Source organism: Homo sapiens, chromosome 4, assembly GCF_000001405.40.
Source record: "Homo sapiens chromosome 4, GRCh38.p14 Primary Assembly".
Classification (NCBI taxonomy): domain Eukaryota; kingdom Metazoa; phylum Chordata; class Mammalia; order Primates; family Hominidae; genus Homo; species Homo sapiens.
In genome coordinates this window covers 131,473,796-131,498,290 of record NC_000004.12, presented here as the reverse complement: position 1 = coordinate 131,498,290, position 24,495 = coordinate 131,473,796, and the positions used below count along the sequence as shown (strand labels likewise).

The window sequence follows — 24,495 nt, the reverse complement described above, 5'->3', positions numbered from 1 at the left end:
TTAAATCTCAGACTACTTAGTAATTAAAACTTTTCTTACTTAGAAGCTGCATTTCTAATATATAATCACTTTTAAATTAAATTTATTATTAATTAATCATTTTTCTAATCGTAGAGATCATTATTGTAATAATGTTTCTTTTCCTAATTTTCATAATCATGTTACAAGTGGCAGAAAATGTCACAGCTTTTTAGAGGTTTGGGAGTGACACAGGTCTTACTCCTGTTCTTTTCACCTAATGGAAAGCATTAAAACATGCAAACACATTCTCATAGTCTTACGTATCTCCACAGGTCTTTCTCATAAATATGGAACGGTGCTTCCTTTTTCATCTATAATTGAAAGTAAGACCCTAAAGAATATGAAGTGCACAAAACGTGGAGTAGTAAAAAGAATTCAGGCTATTGTTCAAAGTAGACCTGAGTAAAAGTCAATTACTAGTCATATGACCTAGAACAATTTCAATAATCCCTCTGAATATTGTTTTCACTGTGTAAATTAGAAAAATGGCAAGGCTGTTTTGCAAATTAATACAAGAGTTAACCAAGAATTCATGTGAGATTCATATTTTACTCTCAAGAGCATAATGGTTAAACCTCAAGCCTCTGGAGCTACTCAGTCGGGGTTAAATTTTTGCTTGATAGTTCTTTTTTTTTAAATCTAGAGTTTCAAAAGTGAGGCAAAAAAGGTGTACTTTGTTTAGAAATGAAAGGTAAGTAAACATTGGGGACAGAATGAATTGTTACAATATCTATCTTACAAATGTTTCAGACTGATTTTAAAAAGGAGAATTTAAAAGAATCAATAATATTTTTTAAAATCACTAGAAAACAATGCAGAAATTTAAAAAAAAAAGCAGGAGACTTCTCAATATAGGATTACATGGAGGCCCACACCAGTTAAACAATAAAACAAATCTACACCTAGATGTTTTATAGAGATACTGCAGAACCTCAAATACAGAGAACATTTTAGGAGATATCAGAGAGAAAAATATGAATTAATGATTAAAATATTATATATCTAAATTACCAATAAACCTAGTTTATCTATAAGAATGGCTGAGAATGAGTCTAAGGATAGTTTCAACAGATTCAAAATCTGGGATTTTATTATTCTGAGGCTTTCAAATAATACATGGAGAAAATATATTACAACAGAAAAGAAAATGTACTCTGTATATTACAATAAAATGAATTCACAGTTGTTAAGGCATGTTACTTATAAACTTGTTGCAGGAAGTCAGGGACTCTGAATGTAGGGATTGGCTGAAGCTATGGCAGAAGAACATAAATTGTGAAAATTTCATGGACATTTATCAGTTTCCAAAATTAATACTTTTATAATTTCTTACATCTGTCTTTACTGAAATCTCTGAACATAAGTTGTGAAGATTTCATGGACATTTATCACTTCCCCAATCAATACTCTTATAATTTCCTATGCCTGTCTTTACTTTAATCTCTTAATCCCGTCATCTTCATGAGATGAGGATGTATGTTGCCTCAGGACCCTGTGATGATTGCATTAACTGTACAAATTGTTTGTAAAATGTGTGAACAATATGAAATCAGGGCACCCTAAAAAAGAACAGAACAGCAATCTTCAGGGAACAAGGGAAGATAACCTTAAGGTCTGACTTCCTGTGGGGTCGGGCAGAATAGAGTCATATTTTTCTTCTTGCAGAAAGTAAATAGGAGAAATATCGCTGAATTGTTTTCCCAGCAAGGAATGACCCTGGGGAAGGAATGCATTCCCAGGCCTATGGATGACCACTCTGGGAGTGTCTGCCTTATGCAGTTGAAGATAAGGGATGAAATATGCCCTGGTCTCCTGCAGTGCCCTCAGGCTTACCAGGATTGGGAAATTCCAGCCTGGTGAATTCTAGTCAAACCCGTTGTCTGCTCTCGAACTCTGTTTCCTGTTAAGATGTTTATCAAGACAATACGTGCCCAGCAGGACATGGAACCTCATCCGTAATTCTAATTTCACCCTGGCCTTGTGATCTTTCTCTGCCCTTCTGCCCTTGTGATCTTTTATTGCCCTTTGATGCATGTGACCTTTGTGACTTACTCCCTGTTCATACCCCCCTCCCCTTTTGAAATCCCTAATAAAAACTTGCTGGTTTTGCAGCTCAAGGGGCATCATGGAACCTGCCGATATGTGATGTCACTCCCGGAGGCCCAGCTGTAAAATTTCTCTCTTTGTACTCTTTTTCTTTATTTCTCAGACTGGCTGACACTTAGGGAAAATAGAAAACAACCTACGTTGAAATATTGGGGGCTGGTTCCCCCGATATAAACTGACTATTTAATTTAAATTATCATTAACTACAAAAATAAATATTAAATGATTTGTTTTGAAATTTAGATGAAATTAAATGTTAGCTAATGTAGTATAGAATATGTAACACTGGAGGTGTGAATATTAGAGTTTAAGCATTCTAAACACATTGTCCTACTCTGGAAGGGGATAGAAAAATCAATTATACTTAAACACCTTGATATAGTTTGGTGTATGCCCACCCAAATCTCATCTTGGGTTGTAATCCTCATAATCCCCATGTGTCTAGGGAGAGACCTGGTGGGAGGCGATTGGATCATGGAGGAGTTTTCCCCCATGTTGTTCTAGTCATAGTGAGTGATTTCTCATGAGATCTGCTGGATATATAAGGGGTTATTTCCCCTTTACTCCTCACTTTTCTCTCTCCTGCCACCATGTGAAGAACATCCCTGCTTCCCCTTCACCTTCTGTCACAATTGTAAGTTTCCTGAGGCTCACCCCATGCCATGTGGAACTGTGAGTCCATTAAGATTTTTTCCTCTATAAATTACCTAGTCTTGGGTATTTCTTTATTGCATTCTGAGGACAGACTAATACAGTGCTTGGTACTGCAGAGAGTGGGGTACTGCTGTAAAGATACCCAAAAATGTGGAAGTGACTTTGGAACTGTATGACGGGCAAGGGTTGAAACACAGTTTGGAGGGCTCAGAAGAAGACAGGAAGATGTGGGAAAGTTTAAAACTTCCTAGAGACTTGTTGAATTGCATTGATCAAAATGGTGATAGTGATATGGACAATAAAGTCCAGGCTCAGGTTGTCTCAGAAAGGGATGAGAAACTTGTTGGAAACTGGAATAAAGGTGACTCACTATACTTTAGCAAAGAGACTGGTGCCATTTTCCCCCTGCCCTAGAGATCTGTGGAAATTTGAACTTGAGAGAGATGATTTAAGGTATCTGGCAGAAGAAATTTCTAAGCAGCAAATCATTAAAGAGGTGGCCTGGTTGATTTTGAAAGTCTTCAATTTTATGCATTCACAAAGAGATGGTTTGAAATTAGAACATATGTTTAAAAGGAAAGCAAAGGCTGGGTGTGGTGGCTCATGCCAGTAATCCTGGCATTTTGGGAGGCCAAGGCAGGGGAATCACCTGAGGTCAGGGTTCAAAACCAGCCTGGCCGACATGGTGAAACCCTGTCCCTATTAAAAATACAAAAATTAACGGGGCATGGTGGCACACATTTGTAATCACAGCTGCTCAGGAGGCCGAGGAAGGAGAATTGCTTGAACGCAGGAGGTGGAGGTTGCAGTAAGCCGAGATTGCGCCATGGCACTCCAGCTTGGGTGACAGAGCAAGACCCCATCTCAAACAAACAAACAAAAGAAACAAAGGGAAGAGGAGAATAAGAGTTTGAAATATTTGCAGCCTGGGAATTTAATAGAAAAGAAAAACCCATTTTCTGGGGAGAAATTCAGGCCAGCTACAGAAATTTGCATAAGTAACAAAGAGCCAAATGTTAACTGACAAGACAATAGGAAAAAATGTCTCCAGGGCATGTCAGAGGTCTTCACAGCAGCACCCCCCAACACAGGCCCAGAGGCCTAGGAGAAAAAAATGGTTTCCTGGGCCAGGCCCAGGGCCTTATTGCTTTTGTGAGTCAATTAAGCTTTTTTCCTTTATAAATTACCCAGTCTTGGGTATTTCTTTATAGAAATGTGAGAACAGACTAATACGTATCTTAAGTCAACTATAGTTGAGAAAAATAAATGAAATAATTTAAACAATAGAATGTCAATTTTAAAGTCACATTAGAAGAAAAAAAGAAATTAAGAAATATGACCATTTAAAGAAGGCAAAAACGGTCAGGCACAATGGCTCACGCCTGAAATCCCAGCACTTTGGGAGACCGAGGCAGGCAAATCACCTGAGATTGGGAGTTTGAGACCAGCTTGACAAACATAGAGAAACCCCATATCTACTAAAAATACAAAATTAGCCAGACATGGTGGCACATGCCTATAATCCCAGCTACTCGGGAAGCTGAGGCAGGATAATTGCTTGAACCCAGGAGGTGGAAGTTGTGGTGAGCTGAGATTGCGTTGTTGCACTCCAGCCTGGGCAACAAGAGTGAAACTCCATCTCAAAAAAAAAAAAAAAAAAAAAAAGAAGAGCAGCGAGGTGCATGGAATTCAAATAGTAAAAAAAAAAAAAATGGTAAGTAGCAAATATAAGATTGTAAAAATAATCAAAATACCAATATTAATAATAAATGCAAAATAATTTAATAAAGACAGAAATACCCATAAAGCATTAGAATAATCAGCCAGATAAATTTAAATACATCTAAATTAATTTAGCAAGAAACACACCTAAAATATAAAAATACCTATACATCGAAAAATGAAGATATTTGAAGCATTTTATACATATTTACAGATTTAATTTCAAAATAATACTTTCAGTTAGGTAAATATATTGTCCCTATTTTATAAATAAAGTATTAGGGTAGAAATATTTTACTGACAAATAACAAAGACAAAATTGGTTTACTATACTCTATTAACTATAGAAAAATAGACTTAAAGTAAAAACAATGTTCAGGACATGAATTAATAATAAATGTATGCCATCTATTGACTTTATATTCCAGTTTATATTGTATATTTAGGTTAGTTAATAAAGTTATGTTATATTGCATATTTCTGTGCAATTTACATTAACAAATTTAACCAACAGGAGCTATAATTTCACCAGCAATAATAATAACCATCTATTTTTTGGGGAATGAGCCACATCATACTTAATACCATAAACTGTAAAAATTATTATTTGGCTCCCATCTCATTTGTTTGGTGTCCAATGCCTATAACTATGACACATGCAAGTCATTCCTTTGAAAGAACAAATCAGATGGAATAGAAAGCTTAACAGAAAGAAATGGATTTGAAAATAGAGTCTTCAAAGCCAATGGTTTTATAGAATAGAGGAGAGAAAACAGCATTTTAATGCAAGTGAAACCTTACGCTATGTGCTGATCCAGATAACCAGAATTTCATAAAATCCCAGAGCTGCACAGAGATATCCTGTACTTCTCTGCCTTACTGCTGAAATAGCTAATATTCTACTTTTGTCTTTCAAACAATTTATTTGAAAGTTATCTTGTTCTGGACACTAAGCTCACATTAGTTCTGTTACTTATAACTATATGTGCTCCTTTTCACTGCAGACTTAATGCTGTTCTGTCTTTTCTCAGTACATTTGTGACTCATTATGATTCCTTCTCCTAATTTTCATCAACATACACATAATGTCTTTCTAACTAAATAAAAGAAATTTTAATAGGCTATACATATTTAGAGTTAGAACTACACCTCGCAGAAATCTATTTAACACCAGTACATAACACCAGTACATAACAGTTATGCAGGCAACCACGTACTCTGCCTTGAAATAGAAACACAGAGAAGTTCATATCAATAAAGTCCTCATTCAAATACAATGAAAGTAATTACGTATTTTTAAAGTTTTACATTAATGTTATAAAACTTTTCTAAATGTTTAACTCTATAGGCCTATATATTTATTTCAGAATTTGTCAGAATAACTTAATTACAATTTTATATAACTATAGCAGTTATATATAGGAAAAATTTATATTGTTTATATTTATATATAGAAACAGTTATATATAGGAATAGTTATTTAGGAACAATTTATTAAGGAGGACTTCACATGCCTTTCCTAAATTAAATTTAACAACAATCTTGTGATAGTAACAATTTTTTTGAAGATGTGGATAATCGGAGAAGTTGAGATATTTATAAACATTGCATGTTTTGCAAAATAATACAGTTAGTATGATAATACAGCTAATATAATAATACAGCTAGTAATGATCAAGTTGAAGTCCATGACCTTGTGAATCTTCTTTTATTAAAGGAACCATTTGGTAGATGTTTAAGGAATATAAATTCCATCTCGTTCAAGAGAAAATAAAACTTGGTAGAAGACAGATCCTGAATATATTGTAATCAGTAGAGATCAATATAAATAACATTTTTGTGAGGTTTCACCTGTTAAACCAAAAGCTGGTTATAATTCTTTTTCCCAAAATGAAGATTCTGCAAATCAAGACTCAAGACTTAGCTGCTTCAGTGACATTTAGTGAGAGCTGACAATTAGAAAAGTCTAGCGAATCAAACCAACACATCACCAAGTTATCTTTATAGATTCACTTAGAAGGTATTTTCTGGAGTACTTGTATTTAAGCTGGATCTAAATTTATACTGAACTCTTCAACATCAAGTTACATAATAAATTATCATGTAAAAAATGAAGAATAGCTTTGTAAGATACATTTTCCATAAAGTAAGTATATTCAGGGTACCATGTGACTAAGAACAAGTATATTTTGCCAGTGCAGTGAATTCAGAAATTTATTTTTTTAACTTGCAGCAAAGATTGCATTTTTAGATATTTTAGATGTACAGAAATATACAAAGGTAATAGAAAAAAACATTGACCTCAGTAATTGCAAACACCAGCAAAACACTGAAATTCCCTTGTGAATTATCTCCAAATTATAACCTCTCTCCTTATGTCTATAATTAGTAATCATCTTTAATATAGTGTTAACTATCCATATTAAATTACATTTATACTTCATGCTTATATTTATACTATAAATTTCTCCTAATGACATATTTCTTGCATATTTTTAAAATTTTATAATTGGTTTATACTCTAAGTATTCTGTAAATCCAAAATTCATTACACCATGTTTATAAAATTAATTCCAGTCATACGTGAAGTTGTTATTTTTATTATTTAATGGGTAATATATAAAAATAAATTTATAATGCACGTATGCATGTTATAATTAATAGTAATATTAACAAAATTATGATTATAGTACCCAACTAAAGAAATGAAATATTACTAGAACTATTAAAGTTCCTTGTATTTTTCATGGATTCCGTCTTTTTGATCCTCTCAGAGACAAAGCCCATACTGAATTATTTTTCTCATAGGCTTTTTCTCATTCTCTCTCTTTTCCACTATCTTTCTTTCTCTTCATTTTTCTACTTCCATAATAAGAATTACCTACATATGTAATTGCATACACGGGTACCAAATATGCATGTATCTTTAAACAAACATATTTGATTTTCTGGCTTATTTTTGAACATTCAAACATTACAGCATAAACAACCTGTTACTAATTAACATTTTATAAATTAATTTGTGTTTTTATGTGTGAAGCTCATTTATTATCACTGTAGAAATATAAGTCATTGTGTACATATACCAATGTTCATTCATTCATTTCTTATTGATATATATTTTAGTGTTTTTTCTTTTTTTTATGATTAACAACAAGGCAACATTTAGCCTCACTTTTTTCAGGGAATACGAAGTGAATAATCTTCTACCTTTTATTTCCTTCAAGTACAACTGGAAAACCCTGGGCGTTATATATAAAACAGACTCTAAAATGTGGAGAGAAGAAAGCAAACTGGCTAGGTGCTTTGGAAATCAAGGAATGAAATAATGGTGAAATATTTGGGTTTGCTTTTGCCTTTTAATCATAGACTTGGAGCTAAAATATCAGGCAACCTAGAAAAGCCAAGAGGCCCTAACAGCCCCTCCACCCCCCGACACACATAAAACAAACAAAAAGCCACCCTAAAAAGCCAGTTATCTCTATCTTATGGAGCAAGATAGTAGCATCCTAGCAAGACAAAATATTTTGAAACAACTACTCTACTACAAGTATATTCCACACACACAAAAAAATCTTGTAATGAGTGACACATCTGCTGGGATAAAGCCCTAGAATACAGAACAGATAGCTGAGACTTTCATACCTGTCAGGCACTAACAAAGGCCCAGTCCTGCATGGGGTCAATGGAAACAACATGGTAAAAGGCTCATATTTCCAATCCCACTTCACAATAATGAGGCACCTCTCTCCCAAAATACTGGAGTAGATCAAAAAGGCCTACTGGGGAAATCGGGTCTTTCACTAACCTCCCTAACTCTTACAGCCTTTGCAGTGGCCACATGGGGTGTAGTAAAGAGGCACTTCTAACCATCCCAACCAAGGTGTATCAGTGGAGGCCAAACTGGGAGCCCTAAATCCCACCGTAGCTCAGCAGTAGTCATAAATATCCTTCTCAGATGTCAACACAGGCTGAGGGCAGAATGTAAACATCTACCCCCACTTAGCAATAAGGAGCCTGTGTATTCCCTTCCCCTGTTATTGCTGTGTCAGAGAAAGTCAGCTAAAGCAGTAGGTTTAACGAAGATACAGACCCTCATACCACATTAGACAAAACGTCAGCCGTCAGTTGAAAATTACTTGCTATACAAACATCCAGAAAAATCTCAGCTTGAATGAAAAAAGACATTGACTATTTGCCAACACCTAAATAAAAGACATGTCAGAGTTATCAAAGATAGCAGTAGTCACAATAATGTTTCAATAAGCATATTTATAAACACAAATGAAATATATGAAAAAAACAGATTTTAAATGAAGAATTGGAAGAGGTATAGAACCACATAAAAACTTTAGCTCTAAAAAATGTAATAACTAATCTACAATAAAACTCAATGGAATGGCTCAACAGCAGAATGAAAAAGACAAAAGAAAGTTACCTGGAACACAGAATAGTGCAAATTCCCCACAAATTACCCCAAATCAAAAACAGAGATAAAATAGACTGAAGAAAACCCTCAGGGACAGGGGAAATTATAACAAAAATTTGAACATTTGTGGCATCAGAGTTAAAGAAACAAGGAGAAAGAACAGGGGAGCTGAAAATAAATTCCAAGAGATTATTGCTGAAAACCCCCCAAACTTGGTAAAAGAAAACTACAGTCAAGAAGCTGAGTGAATCAAAACCACAATAAATCTAAACAAATCTATGCTAAGACATAGTCAAGCTTTTGAAAGACGAAAAAAAAAATGCTTTTGACCACAGTAAGATAAAAGCAACAAATTACATATAGGGAAAAACAGTTCAGATTATGGTGAATTTCTCATCAGAAAACAACAGGCCAAAGGAAGTGACGTAACAGTTTTTCTCAAGTGCTAAAAGAAAAGAACAGTCAACTACTTAAAAGAATGGTTAAAGGAAGTTCTCTAAACAGAAAAAGTAACTGTTATAAGGGACCTTGGAACATACAAGGAAGAATGAACAAAGAGAAAGAGTAAAAATATAAATGAAGACATCATATTTTCCTCCTTTTCTCAGTCTTCTAAATTATGTTTGACAGTTCCAGCAAACATTATAACACTGTCTGATGTGCTTCTGAATGTATGTGGAATATAGTTTTCACAATTATTTAATAGAGAAAAACAATAGGATATAAAGTGTAAGGTCTCTATATTTCATTCAAATTGGTAAAATGCCAACACGAGTAGACTGCAATGTTACACATGTATAAATTAATACCTAGAGAAAACACTAAAATACCTATATAGAGATATACTGTTATCTCGTGGTACCTATGAGAGATTGGTTCTGGGACTTCCTGGATACCAAAATCTGTTGGAAGCACAAATTCCTTATAAAGTGGTAGAGTGTTTGCAGATAACCAACATAAATTTCTTCCATGTATTTTAAGTCATCACCAGATTGCTTATAATACCAAATACAATGAAAAGCTAGGTAGACAGTTCATATTTGTATTATAATGTGTTTTTTATTTGTATTATTTTATTGTTGTATTGTCATTTTATTGTTTTCCTTTATTTATTTATTTTTTTTGAGATGGAGTCTTGCTTTGTCGCCCACACTGGAGTGCAATGGCACCATTTCTGCTCATTGCCACCTCTGCCTCCTGGGCTCAAGCTATTCTCCTGTCTCAGCCCCCCAAGTAGCTGGGATTACAGCCACCTGCTACTACGCCAAGCTAATTTTTGTATTTTTAGTAAAGATGGGGTTTCACCATGTTGGCCAGCCTGGTCTCGAACTCCTGACCTCAGGTGATTCACCTGCCTCAGCCACCCAAAGGGCTGGGATTACAGGCATGAGCCACTGCACCCAGCCCCATTTTATTGTTGTCTAAAATATTTTCTGAGGTTGGTTGAATCCATGGATGCAGAACCACTGATAGAGGGCTGATTGCACTTTGTATGTATTAATTTGATTAATGTGTTACATTAACCAAAAGAAAGCTAAACAGGCTATATTAATGTCAGGTAAAGTAGATTTCAGAGCATAGAAAATGACCAGTCTAAAAGGGACACTAGATAAGGTCGTAAAAGGGTCATTCCACACACAGGACCTCAGTCCTAATGTTTATGCACCAAACAACAGACATGTAAAGTATATCAAGCAAACACTGATAAAAGGAATAGATAAATCCACAATTACTGTTGGAAATTTCAACACCCCTCTCTCAGCAATTGATATAATAATTAGAAAATTAGCAAGAATATAGAAAAAAAATCAATAAAATTATCAACCAACAGGGTTCAATTTACACTTACAGAACTCCTAATCCCACAGTAGCAGATGACACATTTTTTTCAAACACTCACAAAGCATATCTGGATATAGCATATCATAGAGAATATAATCTATGAATGCAACTGAATCAATCCAAACATCAATAATGGAAAGATAAGAAGTCTCCAAACACTTAGAAACTAAACACTTCTTTGAAACATCTATAAATTAAAAATTAATTGAACTAAATAAAAGTGAAAATGTAATACATCAAAATATGTGGGAGGCAGCTAAATCAGTGCTGAAAAGAAATATAAGAGAATTAACATTAGAAAAGGAGGAACTGTCTTCAACAATCATCTAATTTCCACATCAAGAACCAAGAAGAATATCAAAACAAGTCAAGCAGAAGGAAGAAAATAATAGGACCAGAAATAATGCAACAAAAACAAAAACAAAAAAGCAAGTAAGAAAAATGATCGAACAAGTAGCTGGTCCTTGAGGAAAATCAATACAACGGACATATATCTAACAAGAGTGACAAAGACAAAAAGTCAAAACAAATTATCACTATCAGGAAGGAAACAGGGACTATCATACCATCATTGATGAATAATAAGGGAATACTACAAACAAATCGATGTATAAATTTGACAATTAAGATGAACTGGACCAGTTCTTCAAAAAGCATACCCTATCACAATTCACTCAATATGAAATAGATAAAGTTAATAGTCCTGTAACTACTTGAGATATTAAATTTGTAATTTAAAAATTCCTTGCACTAAAAATTCCAAGGCCCAGATAGTTTCAGAAAAGCATTATATAAATATTTTAAGAAGGAATAACTAATTCTACACAATTTCATGCAGAAACAAAAGTAGGGGGACAAATTCAAACTCATTTTATGAAGTTAATATTACCCTACTTCTAAAGCAAGGGATAGAGAGTACAAACAAAAAATCTATAGATCAATGTTCTTCATTAATATAGATGCAAAATTATTATACACAAAGAGTTATAGGCTGGGAGCAGTGGCTCACACTTGTAATCTCAGCACTTTAAGAAGCCGATGCAGGCAAATCACTTGAACTCAGGCATTTGAGACCAGCCTGGGCAACACAGTGAGGCCTCATTTTAGTGAGATCTCTATTTTTTTAATAAAGAAATTAAAATTTATAAAAAAAAAGAAAAAAATGAATTATATACCATCACCAAATGGGGTTTATTCCAGTCATGGAAGGCTAAATCAATATTCAAAATTCAATAAATGTAACCCACTATATTAACACTATAAGAAAGAAAAAAAAATCTCAAGATTATATCAATTGGTATAGAAAAAGCATTTGACAAAATTCAACACTCATTCATAATTTTTGTTAAGAAATGTCAGAAAAATAGAAATAGAGTAGAATTTCCTATATAAAGAGGATTTACAAAAAACAAAGCAAAACAAATAAACTCAATAAAACCTACCAGTCATATACTTAACCATGAAAAAATGAATGCTTTTATTCTACCAGGATTGTGAAAAAATATGTCCAAACTAGTCACTCTTATTTGACATAGTACTGGTAATTCTAGTCAGTGAAATCTGTCAAGAAAGACCAATAGAAGGGATACAAATCAAAAACAAATAAGAAAAACTATTTACAGATGACACAATTTTCTACCTAGAAAATTCCAATAATTCTCTTTTTAAAAAATGTTCCTAGAACTAGCAGGTTTATTTGGAAAGGTGACAGAATACAAGACCAACCTACAAAAATGAATTGCATTTCTATAACTAGCAATGAGCACATTGATGTTAAAATTAAAAATGCAGTATCATTTAAAACTGCTTAAAAAAGATCAAAGCAACAAAATACTTAGGTATAAAACTAAGAATACATTAACAGAACTTATATGCAGAAACTATGCAGTTGGTAATGAAAGAAATAAAATAAGACCTAACCAAATGGAGATAAATAGCCTGTTCATGGATTGGAAGACTCAATATAGCAAAACTATCAATTATCCTCCTACTGGTATGTGGGTTTAACAATTTGTCTATCAAAGTTCCAGCAAGAATTCTTAGTTATTGACAATATTATTCTAAAATGTAGGTGCAAAAACAAAGGAACTAGAATAGCTAAAATAATTTTGAAGCAGAATAATAAAGTGGGATATATTGGTCTACTCAATTTCAAGACTTTTATAGCTACAAAATTAAAAAATGTGTTGTATTGTCAGAGATATAGTGTTTTGATCTCAACCTCTTTATCCCATGGTTAGGTTTTTGAGCTTACTATCATAAAGTTATGCTACAGGTCAAACACACAGCACCCAACACTGTACAGATGAGCTTCATAGTAGTTTGTTAGTAACATATATTCACAGCCCAAAGAAGGAAGACAATGCATATTGTGCAATGCCACAGTGGGTTGTACTCTGGAAAAGAGGGCCTCTGGTTTTCCCCAGATTTCAAGATAAACATTATAATTAACCTTCATTTTAAGTCTTAAACAACAGATAGACATTTAGATAAATGGAACAGAATCGAAAACAGAGAAATAGACCCACACAAATATTCTTAATTGATTTTTGTCAAAGAGGCAAATGGAATTCTATGCAATGGAAGAAAGATAGCCTTTTGAGGAAATCATATGGAAATATTTGGATATCCACAGGCAAAAACAAACAAAGTGATATAGTTGGCCTGTGTCTCCACTCAAATCTCATCTTGAACTGTAGTTTCCATATTCCCCACATGTCGTGGGAGGGACTCGGTGGGAGGTAATTGAATCATGGGGGCAGTTACCTCCACGCAGTTCTCATGACAGTGAGTTCATGACAGTGAGTGAGTTCTCATGAGACCTGGTGGTTTTATGAGGGGCTTTCGCCCCACCTCACTTTACACTTCCCTTTGCTGCTGCTATGTGAAGAAGGACGTGTTTGCTTCCTCTTCTGACATAATTTTTTAAGTTTCTTGAGGCCTCCTCAGCCCTGTGGAACTGTGAGTCAATTAAACCTCTTTCCTTTATAAATTACCCAGTCTTGGTTATGTCTTTATTAGAAGTGTGAGAACAAACTAATACACAAAGTAACTATATCTCACATCTTATACTAGCATTAACCCTAAATAGATCACAGATTTCAATGTAAAATGTAAAAACAAAATTTCAGGGGTTAAAAAAACCCAAATCACCTTTAGGAAGCCACACTAGGTGAACAGTTCTTATTCTTAATACCAAAAGTATAATCGCTAAAAAGAAAAAGTAACAACAAAAAATAAATCCCAAAAGTAAAAACTTTTGCTTTATGAATGACACTGCTAAAATGATGAGAAGACAAATTATAGAATTAATTAAGAATTCCACATGGTTTATCCAGGAATAATAATTCAAGGTAAAGATTAACCTGCTTTGAATTACAATTGCAACAAAGCGTAAGTTGTAACTTATTGATATGCAGATACCTTTCTGTTATGAGTAAGAATTTATCTTATGATACAATTTTTAAAATTATTGATGAATTACTTCGTAAAAGAACTAAAAAGGCCTCAGGTTTGAGAGTACAAGGTGGGAGGATTACTAGAGGCCAGGAATTTGAGACTAGCCTAGGCAACAAAGAAAGATCCTGTCGCTATGAAAAAACAAACAAACAAACAGAAAAAAAAAATTAAATTAGCTGAGCATGGTAGAACATGACTGTAGTCCTACCTACTCGAGAGGCTGAGGCAGGAGGATCCCTTAAGCCCAGGAGTTTGAGGCTGCAGTGAGCCAAGATTGTGCAATTGCACTCCAGCCTGGGTGACAGAGCAAGACCCTCTCTCTAAAAATAAATAAATAAAAAGGCTTCAAACTAGATGTAAAAAATTGAAAATAGATAATTCAATATAATTCATCTTACAATTTCATTGTAGACAGAATAAAAGACATAAAAATGTTATTATATAAGAGGTTTTTAAATTTCTGATCCACATAGAAACTTAAATTATGTGGTAATTTTTCTCTCTACTTTATTATTATTCCATTGTATTTCCCAAAAAAACAAAGAAATACGCAGAGTGGTCTTTTTTATAAAAAATATGAAAATAACATGGTATCTTCAACTTTCTATACAGGACCTAAACACAGGTAAAGCATTTTTGATAGATTATATCCTCCATAGATAGATATGTAAATTTATTGTTAGATGAGTGATAGAGTACTGAACAAGTAACTGAATAATTTGGAAAAGACTTTCATTTCCCTTACAAGTTTGTTACAGCTGTTTAAAAACACAAACATTGTATCCTCAGTGATAAGTATAGAAACATAGTTAAAATTTAGATACATTTTGAACTGACTAAATTGAATAAATACTATAAAATTATCTGAATGTATTTATGATTTTGGGAAATGTAGGATACGAAGGATTTGAAGAACAAAATAATATGTTGTGCATAAGTAAAAAAAGGAGAAATGATAAAAACAGGGAAAAAGTAAAAAAGGAAACATTTTGTTAGTTTTTGAACTCTGGCTATCTAGGAAATACTACCAACAAACATTTAAGTTGATTTATGAATTGATATAAATGATATCACTAAATTAAAAATATATTAATGAAAGCCATTTAAAATTTAATGTATATTTATTGGCATATTAATTCTATATATTTTAACTAGAAATAACCAATGACAAACTAACAAATGCTTTGTACCAATATTTTGGGGGTTTATTAGTCTTTTAGATATCTAAATTTGCTTTATTTCATTCATTATCACAAACTTAAGATTTTTTTGTCTTGTCAACTATTTCTAAATAATACATTTTAATTATATTCTAATTACAAATGTTATAATTATTTTTTGAAAACTTAAGAAGAAAATGCATAAGAACGAAGAAAGATTAAATTTTCACTCATAATCTTACCTAGAGAAATAACAATTTTTAACGTGAAATAATATTTCAGAAACTTGATGCTTCCATTTCTTTCTCTAATTTCCCATAATTATATAAATACACACATATATTCAATTATACGCATAAATATTTACTACTTGAATGCTTGACGATGATTGTCTGTCTCTTAAGCCTCTATTTTGGTTTGTACTTGTTTTAAAAGTTGAATATTGTATTGATTTGTTTCTTGTAGTTGCTTTTGTCGCTGTAACATCGTGTTGATCTGTTCTTTGTGTACTGCTATTCCCCAGTGCTTATATTTTCAGACCTCATTAGTCTATCTTCAGTTACTATTTCTGTGAATATATTTATTGTGATTATTTCTTCATATATTTCACATGCAGAACAATTGAAGTTGACTTGCCCTCCATCAGCAGCCAGCATTTGAGTTTAAAGTACTATTTTATAGTCATCAGTGAAAATGTATTAAGTAAGTATCTTCAAACATTATCCCTGGCTAACCAACTTATTTAAATTTTATATTGTCTAGTGTCATTTAAGTTTGACAAGGAAATGAGTGATTCACTAATTTGAGATGAATTTTGAAACTTCTTCTTTGTCAATATTTTATATATATATAAATAAAAACAAATAAAAATTATATATACATAATTTTAAATTAATTTTAAATTATATATATGTATAATTTTAAATTATATTCTTTAGGGACAGGGTCTTACTGTGTTGCCCAGGCTCGTGTGTGGTGGCCTGATCATAGCTCATTTCAGCCTTGAGTTCCTGTGCTCAAGTGATCCTCCTGCTTCAGCCTTCCAAGTAGTTAGAACTACAGGAGGCAAGTGCCACCCCATCGACTTTTTTTTTTTTTTTGAGGTCTCATCATGTTGCCCAGGCTGGTCTCAAACTCCTGGCTTCAAGCAATCTTCCTGCCTGGCCTCCTAAAGTGCTGGGGTTATAGGCATGAGCCACTGAGCTGAGTTTTATATGATCTCTATAGAGAGGTATGCCACAGAATGTCACTGAAACCATTGTTTATTAGAAGTCAACACTAAGGCCAGGCGCTGTGGCTCACACCTGTAATCCCAGCACTTTGAGAGGCCGAAGCAGGCAGATCACGAGGAGTTTGAGACCAGCCTGGCCAACATGATGAAATTTTGTCTCTACTAAAAATACAAAAATTAGCAGGGTGGGTGGCAGGCGCCTGTAATCCAGCTACTCAGAAGGCTGAGGCAGGAGAATTGCTTGAAACTGGAAGGTGGAGTTTGAGTGAGCCAAGATCCCACCACTGCACTGCAGCCTGGGCAATAAGAGCAAGACTCTGTCTCAAAAAAAAAAAAAAAAAAAAAAAGAAAACAAAAAGAAGTCAACACCAAGAGCTTATTATTATATTTTTTAAATTATACTTTAAGTTCTAGGTTACATGTGCACAATGTGCAGGTTTGTTACATATGCATACATGTGTCATGTTGGTGTGTTGCACCTGTTAACTCATCATTTACATTAGGTATATCTCCTAATGCTATCCCTCCTCCCTCCCCCGACCCCACGACAGGGCCCAGTGTGTGATATTCCCCACCCTGTGTCCAAGTATTCTCACCGTTCAATTCCCACCTATAAGTGAAAACACGTGGTGTTTGGTTTTCTGTTCCTGTGTTAGTTTGCTGAGAATGATGGCTTCGAGCTTCATCCAGGTCCCTGCAAAGGACATGAACTCATCCTTTTTTATGGCTGCATAGTATTCCATGGTGTATATATGCCACATTTTCTTAATCCAGTCTATCATTGTTGACATTTGGGTTGGTTCCAAGTCTTTGCTATTGTGAATAGTGCCACAATAAACATCTATGTGCATCTGTCTTTATAGCAGCATGATTTATAATCCTTTGGGTATATGCCCAATAATGGGATGGCTGGGTCAAATGGTATTTCTAGTTCTAGATCCTTGACAAATCACCATGCTGTCTTCCACAATGGTTGAACTAGTTTACAGTCCCATCAACAGTGTAAAAGTGTTCCTATTTCTCCACATCCTCTCCAGCACCTGTTGTTTCCTGACTTTTTAATGATTGCCATTCTAACTGGTGTGACATGGTATCTCATTGTAGTTTTGATTTGCATTTCTCTGATGGCCAGTGATGATGAGCATTTTTTCATGTCTGTTGGCTGCATAAATGTCTTCTTTTGAGAAGTGTCTGTTCATACCCTTTGTCCACTTTTTGATGGGGTTGTTTGATTTTTTTCTTGTAAATTTGTTTAAGTTCTTTGTAGATTCTGGATATTAGCCCTTTGTCAGATGGGTAGATTGCAAAAATTTTCTCCCACTCTGTAGGTTTCCTGTTCACTCTGATGATCACTTACTATTCAATAAGTTAGTAGTTTCTTTTGCTGTGCAGAAGCACCAAGAGCTTATTTTATACTTTGTAACCTTAGATAATATTTTAAACAAAACAGTAATGTAAAATGAACAAATAAAAATGTATATTGAAGTAAATACAATAACGAATACTTTTAAATTTAGGATACTTTGGTCACATGTAAAGATTTGCATTTTCAAAAGATGTGTACAGGAAAATAATGAAAAACATTCATGAGTTGCAGGTTTCTAAAAGTTAATTCATCACAATACTTTCAGAGGATAAAATTGTGAAACCATTTAATGCATAATCTGTAACCCTTGTCTTAAATTTCTACATATGAAATGTGATTATCTCTCCATCTATTCATCTATCTGTTCTTTGATTCATCCATCCATCTATTGATTTACCAAACACTTATTGAGTGTTGATATATTGTATAGATAATACACATTACGAAAATTAAATAAGACATGATAACTGTCCTCACTGTGCTTACAACTCAGTTTCTCTATGTAATTCTGAACTGATAATTATTCCCACTGTATATTACAATGAAGAAATATACATATTTGCATTTATTAAAGAAATACCATTACTTTGACTTCTTTACATCATGACCCAGTTCATCACACTGAGAGAGCATGCATAGAAAATGATGGGTATGTTTAGCAAATTCAGGTAGATAAAATTATTTTTCCCTACATTTAATATAATATTTGGGCATACAAACATTTATGTCAGGTAAAAATTAACTAACATCTACATACTCACAACAGAGCTTAAGCCATAATGTATAATAATGTTTGGCGATGCTTTGTAGTATACCTTTAATAACTGTCCCTTTCTTCCTAAAAGTGTTAACAAAAAGGAATCATTATTTCACTAATTTACATTTTGTGGACATTATCCCTGTGCAAATTATTGTTTCAGACTCTGGGTAAGTAGGAATAAACAAGTAAGAAATAATTTTTGCCCTCATTAAGCTTGTAGTTTACTCCAGAAAAAGTCATTAAAAATAAGCATATTGATCAATACCAAATTCAAATGGTGATAATTTTCATGACACAAAAGAGATGGCTTCTGTGAGAGAGACTATAAAGTGAAGGCAGGAGGTCAGCGGATGATAATTTTGAGAGAATAATCAGGAAAATACTTTCTTAGAAGTGATCTACCCATCAAGTTAGTCAGGTAGATGTAAGAAAAAAAATGATAAAAGGCAAAGGAATAGCTGGTATAAAATCTAGAGAAACTTGATGGGATAGGATCAAACAGGGCCTTTTATGGTACATGTTAAAAAGCAAGCACCCCTTGTTTTTAAGCATGGAGTGGAGCTATCTGATTCGCATTTTAAAATGATGAGTTTATCTGACCAACAAAAAATATATACTGGAAGAGGTCATACACAGAAGAACAGAGACCTATAAGGAAACAAATGTGTTCTATCAAGAACCGCATTATTACACTTTGCCCTTGTGCATTAGGAATTAATTTTTTTTTAAAGAAAACTGATTGATCTTACTTAGAATTAATAGAAATCATTGACAGATTGACTGTGGACTTACAAAAAAAGGAGTTTTCAGGTGATCAGTTAGGAGTTTTTATTTATGACTAAGAGTTTTTAGTGAATTGAAATATTTGGGAACGGAAGGTGAAACTGGTCACTAGGTGGAGGAACCAGCGATCAGGAATGTTTTTCCAGATATGAAAGCCAAAGAGGATTGATGTTTGGTCTTGGCCATCAAGCCAGTCTGGTGTTTGGAGACATAAACAGCCAACTGTGGGCACTACAAATTTCGTCCTTCAATGAAGGATGAGAAATGAAGCAATTTCTACAGAACTATACTTGAACAGTAGGAGTTTCAAGAAGTATCGAAGGAAAAGCTTTCAGGGTGTTGTAGAAAATTACATTACAGTAAGGTAACTATAGAGTGCCAGAGAGGTTGAATTTACATTCTCCCTAAACACTAGAAATGTACCTTTAAAGTACAGCAAATGCTTTCTACTTACAGACAAAACATGCAAGCAGTTTGGAAAGTCTTACTCAAACATTTATTCTCTGAGGCGAAGAACAATAGAAAAGGTTGCCTAACATGTGATGTCAAGTCATTTGCCTTTCAAGGCTTAATTTGCTTGCGTTGTGTCTTCCAGAACGGATAGTTATCTTTGCACCTATCACATTGCTGAGACTTTGGATTCTGATATATCCGTTCACTCTGCATCGACTTCCAGCTTCAGTTTCAGGCCTGATTCTATGTTTCCTCTTTCTAGTTTAAGTATACTTCTGATATAAATGACTGATCACTTATTATTCAACAAATATTTACTGAGCATTTTCAATACTCATATCAGTATAAAAAGACTGAGGTACTTCCACAAGCAAAAAAGGCTGTTGGCGCCTGTCTATATTGTAAGTGATGGCTCCAGGTCCCCAGGTTTCAAGCACTTTCATTTTGTTTTGTTTCTCACTGCCAAAAATTTCCTGGAACTTTTAAATATTAAATTATAAGTGCATCAATTGATGGAAGGCAGTCTCCCTATCATACAAAAATCACTTAAAGAATATTGTTGTTGAATATATAAATTACTTTGAGCAGTATGGCCATTTTCACGACATTGATTCTTCCTATCCATAACCATGAAAATTTTTTCATTTGTTTGTGTCCTCTCCTATTTCCTTGAGCAGTAGTTCGTCATTCTCCACGAAGAGGTCCTTCACATCCCTTGTAAGTTGTATTCCTGGGTATTTTATTCTCTTGGTAGCAATTGTGAATGGGAGTTCACTCACAATTTGGCTATCTGTCTATTATTGGTGTATAGGAATGCCTGTGATTTTTGTACATTGATTTTGTATCCTGAGACTTTGCTGAACTTGCTTATCAGCTAAAGGAGATTTTGGGCTGAGACGATGGGGTTTTCTAGATATACAATCATGTCATCTGCAAACAGAGACAATTTGACTTCCTCTGTTCCTATTTAAATACCCTTCTTTCTTTCTCTTGCCTGATTGCCCTGGCCAGAACTTCCAACACTATGTTGAATAGGAGTGGTGAGAGAGGGCATCCTTGTCTTGTGCCGGTTTTCAAAGAGAATGCTTCCAGCTTTTGTCCATTCAGTGTGATATTGGCTGTGGGTTTGTCTTAAATAGCTCTTATTATTTTGAGATACGTTCCATCAATATCTAGTTTATTGAGAGTTTTTAGCATGAAGATGTGTTGAATTTTATCGGAGGCCTTTTCTGCATCTCTTGCGATAATCATGTGGCTTTTGTCATTGGTTCTGTTTATATGATGGATTATGTTCATTAATTTGTATATGTTGAGCCAGCCTTGCATCCCATGGATGAAGCTGACTTGATCATGGTGGATAAGCTTTTGATGTGCTCTTGGATTCAGTTTGCCAGTATTATATTGAGGGTTTTTGCATCGATGTTTATCAGCATTATTTGCCTGAAATGTTCCTTTACTGTTGTATCTCTGCCAGGTTTCTGTATCAGGATGATGCTGGCCTCATAAAATGAGTTAGGGAAGAGTCTCTCTTTTCCTGTTGTTTGGAATAGTTTCAGGAGAAATGGTACCAGCTCCTTTTTGTACCTCTGATAGAAATCGGCTGTGAATCTGTCTGGTCCTGGGCTTTTCTTGGTTGGTAGGCTGTTAATTACTACCTCAATTTCAGAACTTGTTATTGATCTATTTAGGGATTCGACTTCTTCCTGGTTTAGTCATGGGAGGGTGTATGTGTCCAGGAATTTATCCATTTCTTCTAGATTTTCTAGTTTATTTGCATAGAGGTGTTTATAGTATTCTCTGATGGCAGTTTGTATTTCTGTGGGATCAGTGGTGATATCCCCTTTATCATTTCTTATTACATCTATTTGATTTTTCTCTCTTTTCTTCTTTATTACTATAGCTAGCGGTCTATCTATTTTGTTAATCTTTTCAAAAAACCAGCTCCTGGATTCACTGATTTTTTTGAAGGATTTTTTGTGTCTCTATCTCCTTCAGTTCTGCTCTCATCTTAATTATTTCTTGTTTTCTGCTAGCTTTTGAATTTGTTTGCTCTTGTTTCTCTAGTTCTTTAACTGTGATGTTAGGGTGTTGATTTTAGATCCTCCCGCTTCTTCATGTGGGCATTTAGTGCTATAAATTTCCCTGTCAACATTCCTTTAGCTGCGTCCCAGAGTTTCTGGTACGTTGTGTCTTTGTTCTCATTGGTTTCAAAGAACTTATTCATTTCTGCTTTAATTTCGTTATTTACCCAGTAGTCATTCAGGAGCAGGTTGTTCAGTGTCCCTGTGTTCTGAGAGACTGTTTGTTATGATTTCCATTTTTTACATTGGCTGAGGAGTGTTTTACTTCCAATTATGTGGTCAATTTTAGAATAAGTGTGACGTGGTGCTGAGAAGAATGTATATTCTGTTGATTTGAGGTGGAGAGTTTTGTGGGTGTCTATTACATCTGCTTTGTCCAGAGCTGAGTTCAAGTCCTGAATATCCTTGTTAATTTTCTGTCTTGTTGAACTGTCTAATATTGACAGTGGTGTGTTAAAGTCTCCCACTATTATTGTGTGGCAGTCTAAGTCTCTTTGTACATCTCTAAGAACTTGCTTAATGAATCTGGGTATTCTTGTATTGAGTGCCCAAGATATATTTAAGATAGTTATCTCTTCTTCTTGCATTCGTCCCTTTACCATTATGTAATGCCCTTCTTTGTCTTTTTTGATCTTTGTTTATTTAAAGTCTGTTTTATCAGAGACTAGGATTGCAACCCCTGCTTTTCTTGCTTTCTATTTGCTTGGTAAATATTCCTCTATCCCTTAATTTTGAGCCTCTGTGTGTCTTTGCATGGGAGATGGGTCTCCTGAATATAGCACACTGATGGGTCTTGACTCTTTATCCAATTTGCCTGTCTGTGTCTTTTAATTGGGGCATTAGCCCATTTACATTTAAGATTAATATTGTTATGTGTGAATTTGATCCTGTCTTTTTGATGCTAGCTCTTTATTTTGTCCATTAGTTGATGCAGTTTCTTCATAGTGTTGTGGGTCTTCACAAGTTGGTATGTTTTTGCAGTGGTTGGTACCAGTTTTTCCTTTCCATATTTAATACTTCCTTCAGGAGTTCTTGTAAGGAAGACCTGTTGGTGACAAAATCTCTCATCATTTGCTTGTCTGTAAAGGATTTCATTTCTCCTTTGCTTATGAAGCTTAGTTTTGCTAGTACCATTGAATATCTTCACAGAATAAGAAAAAACTACTTTTAATTTCATATGGAACCAAAAAAGAGCACATATAGCCAAGACAATACTAAGCAAAAAGAACAAACCTGGAGGCATCACGCTACCTGACTTCAAAATATACTACAAGACTACAGTAACCAAAGCAGCATGGCACTGGTACCAAAACAGATATACAGACCAATGGAACAGAACAGAGGCCTGAGAAATAACGCCACACATCTACAAGCATCTGATTTTCAACAAACCTGACAAAAACAAGAAATGGAGAAAGGATTTCCTATTTAATATGGTACTGGAAAAACTGGCTAGCCATATGCAGAGAACTGAAACTGGACCCCTTCCTTACATCTTATACAAAAATTAACTCATGATGGATTAAAGACTTAAATGTGAACCTAAAACCACAAAAACCCTAGAAGAAAACCTAGGCAGTACCATGCAGGACACAGGCATGGGCAAAGAGTTCATGACTAAAACACCAAAAGCAATGTCAACAAAGGCCGAAATTGACAAATGAGATCTAATTAAACTAAGTAGCTTCTGCACAGCAAAAGAAACTATCATCAGAGTGAACAGGCAACCTACAGAATGAGAGAAAATTTTTGCAATCTACCCATCTGAAAAAGGGCTAATATGAGGAATCTACAAGGAACTTAAAGCAATTTAGAAGAAAAAACAAACAACCCAATCAAAAAGTGAGGGAAGGATATGAACAGACACTTCTCAAAAGAAGACATTTATGCGGCCTACAAAGGATAAAAAGCTCATAATCACTGGTTATTAGAGAAATGCAAATCAAAACCACAATGAGATACCATCTCACGCCAGTTAGAATTGCAATCATTAAAAAGTCAGGAAACAACAGATGCTGGAGAGGATGTGGAGAAATATGAACACTTTTACACTGTTGGTGGGAGTATAAATTAGTTCAACCACTGTGGAAGACAGTGTGGCAATTCCTCAAGCATCTAGAACTAGAAATACCATTTGACCCAGCAATACCATTACTGGGTATATACCCAAGGGATTATAAATCATTCTACTATAAAGACACATGCACACGTATGTTTACTGCAGCACTATTCATAATAGCAAAGACTTGGAACCAACCCAAATGCCCATCAATGATAGACTGGATAAAGAAAATGTGGCACATATACACCATGGAATACTATGCAGCCATAAAAAAGCATGAGTTTCTATCCTTTGCAGGGACCTGGATGAAGTTCGAAGCCATCATTCTCAGCAAACTAACACAGGAACAGAAAACCAAACACCACA

General features: G+C 34.3%; 1 long non-coding RNA gene across 33 annotated transcripts in view; it reads right to left on the bottom strand.

Annotated features, from left to right (window-relative positions):
* LINC02377 (long intergenic non-protein coding RNA 2377) overlaps positions 1 to 24,495 on the bottom strand; it is a 338,568-nt gene that overhangs the window by 220,034 nt on the left and 94,039 nt on the right. For 2 of the 33 annotated variants that reach the window (NR_183952.1, NR_183940.1), the window contains one exon: positions 19,988 to 23,112. The exons of the other annotated variants lie outside the window; for them this stretch is intronic. This is a non-coding gene — a long non-coding RNA (long intergenic non-protein coding RNA 2377). The remainder of the gene's footprint in view (positions 1 to 19,987; positions 23,113 to 24,495) is intronic. 33 annotated transcript variants of the gene reach the window in all.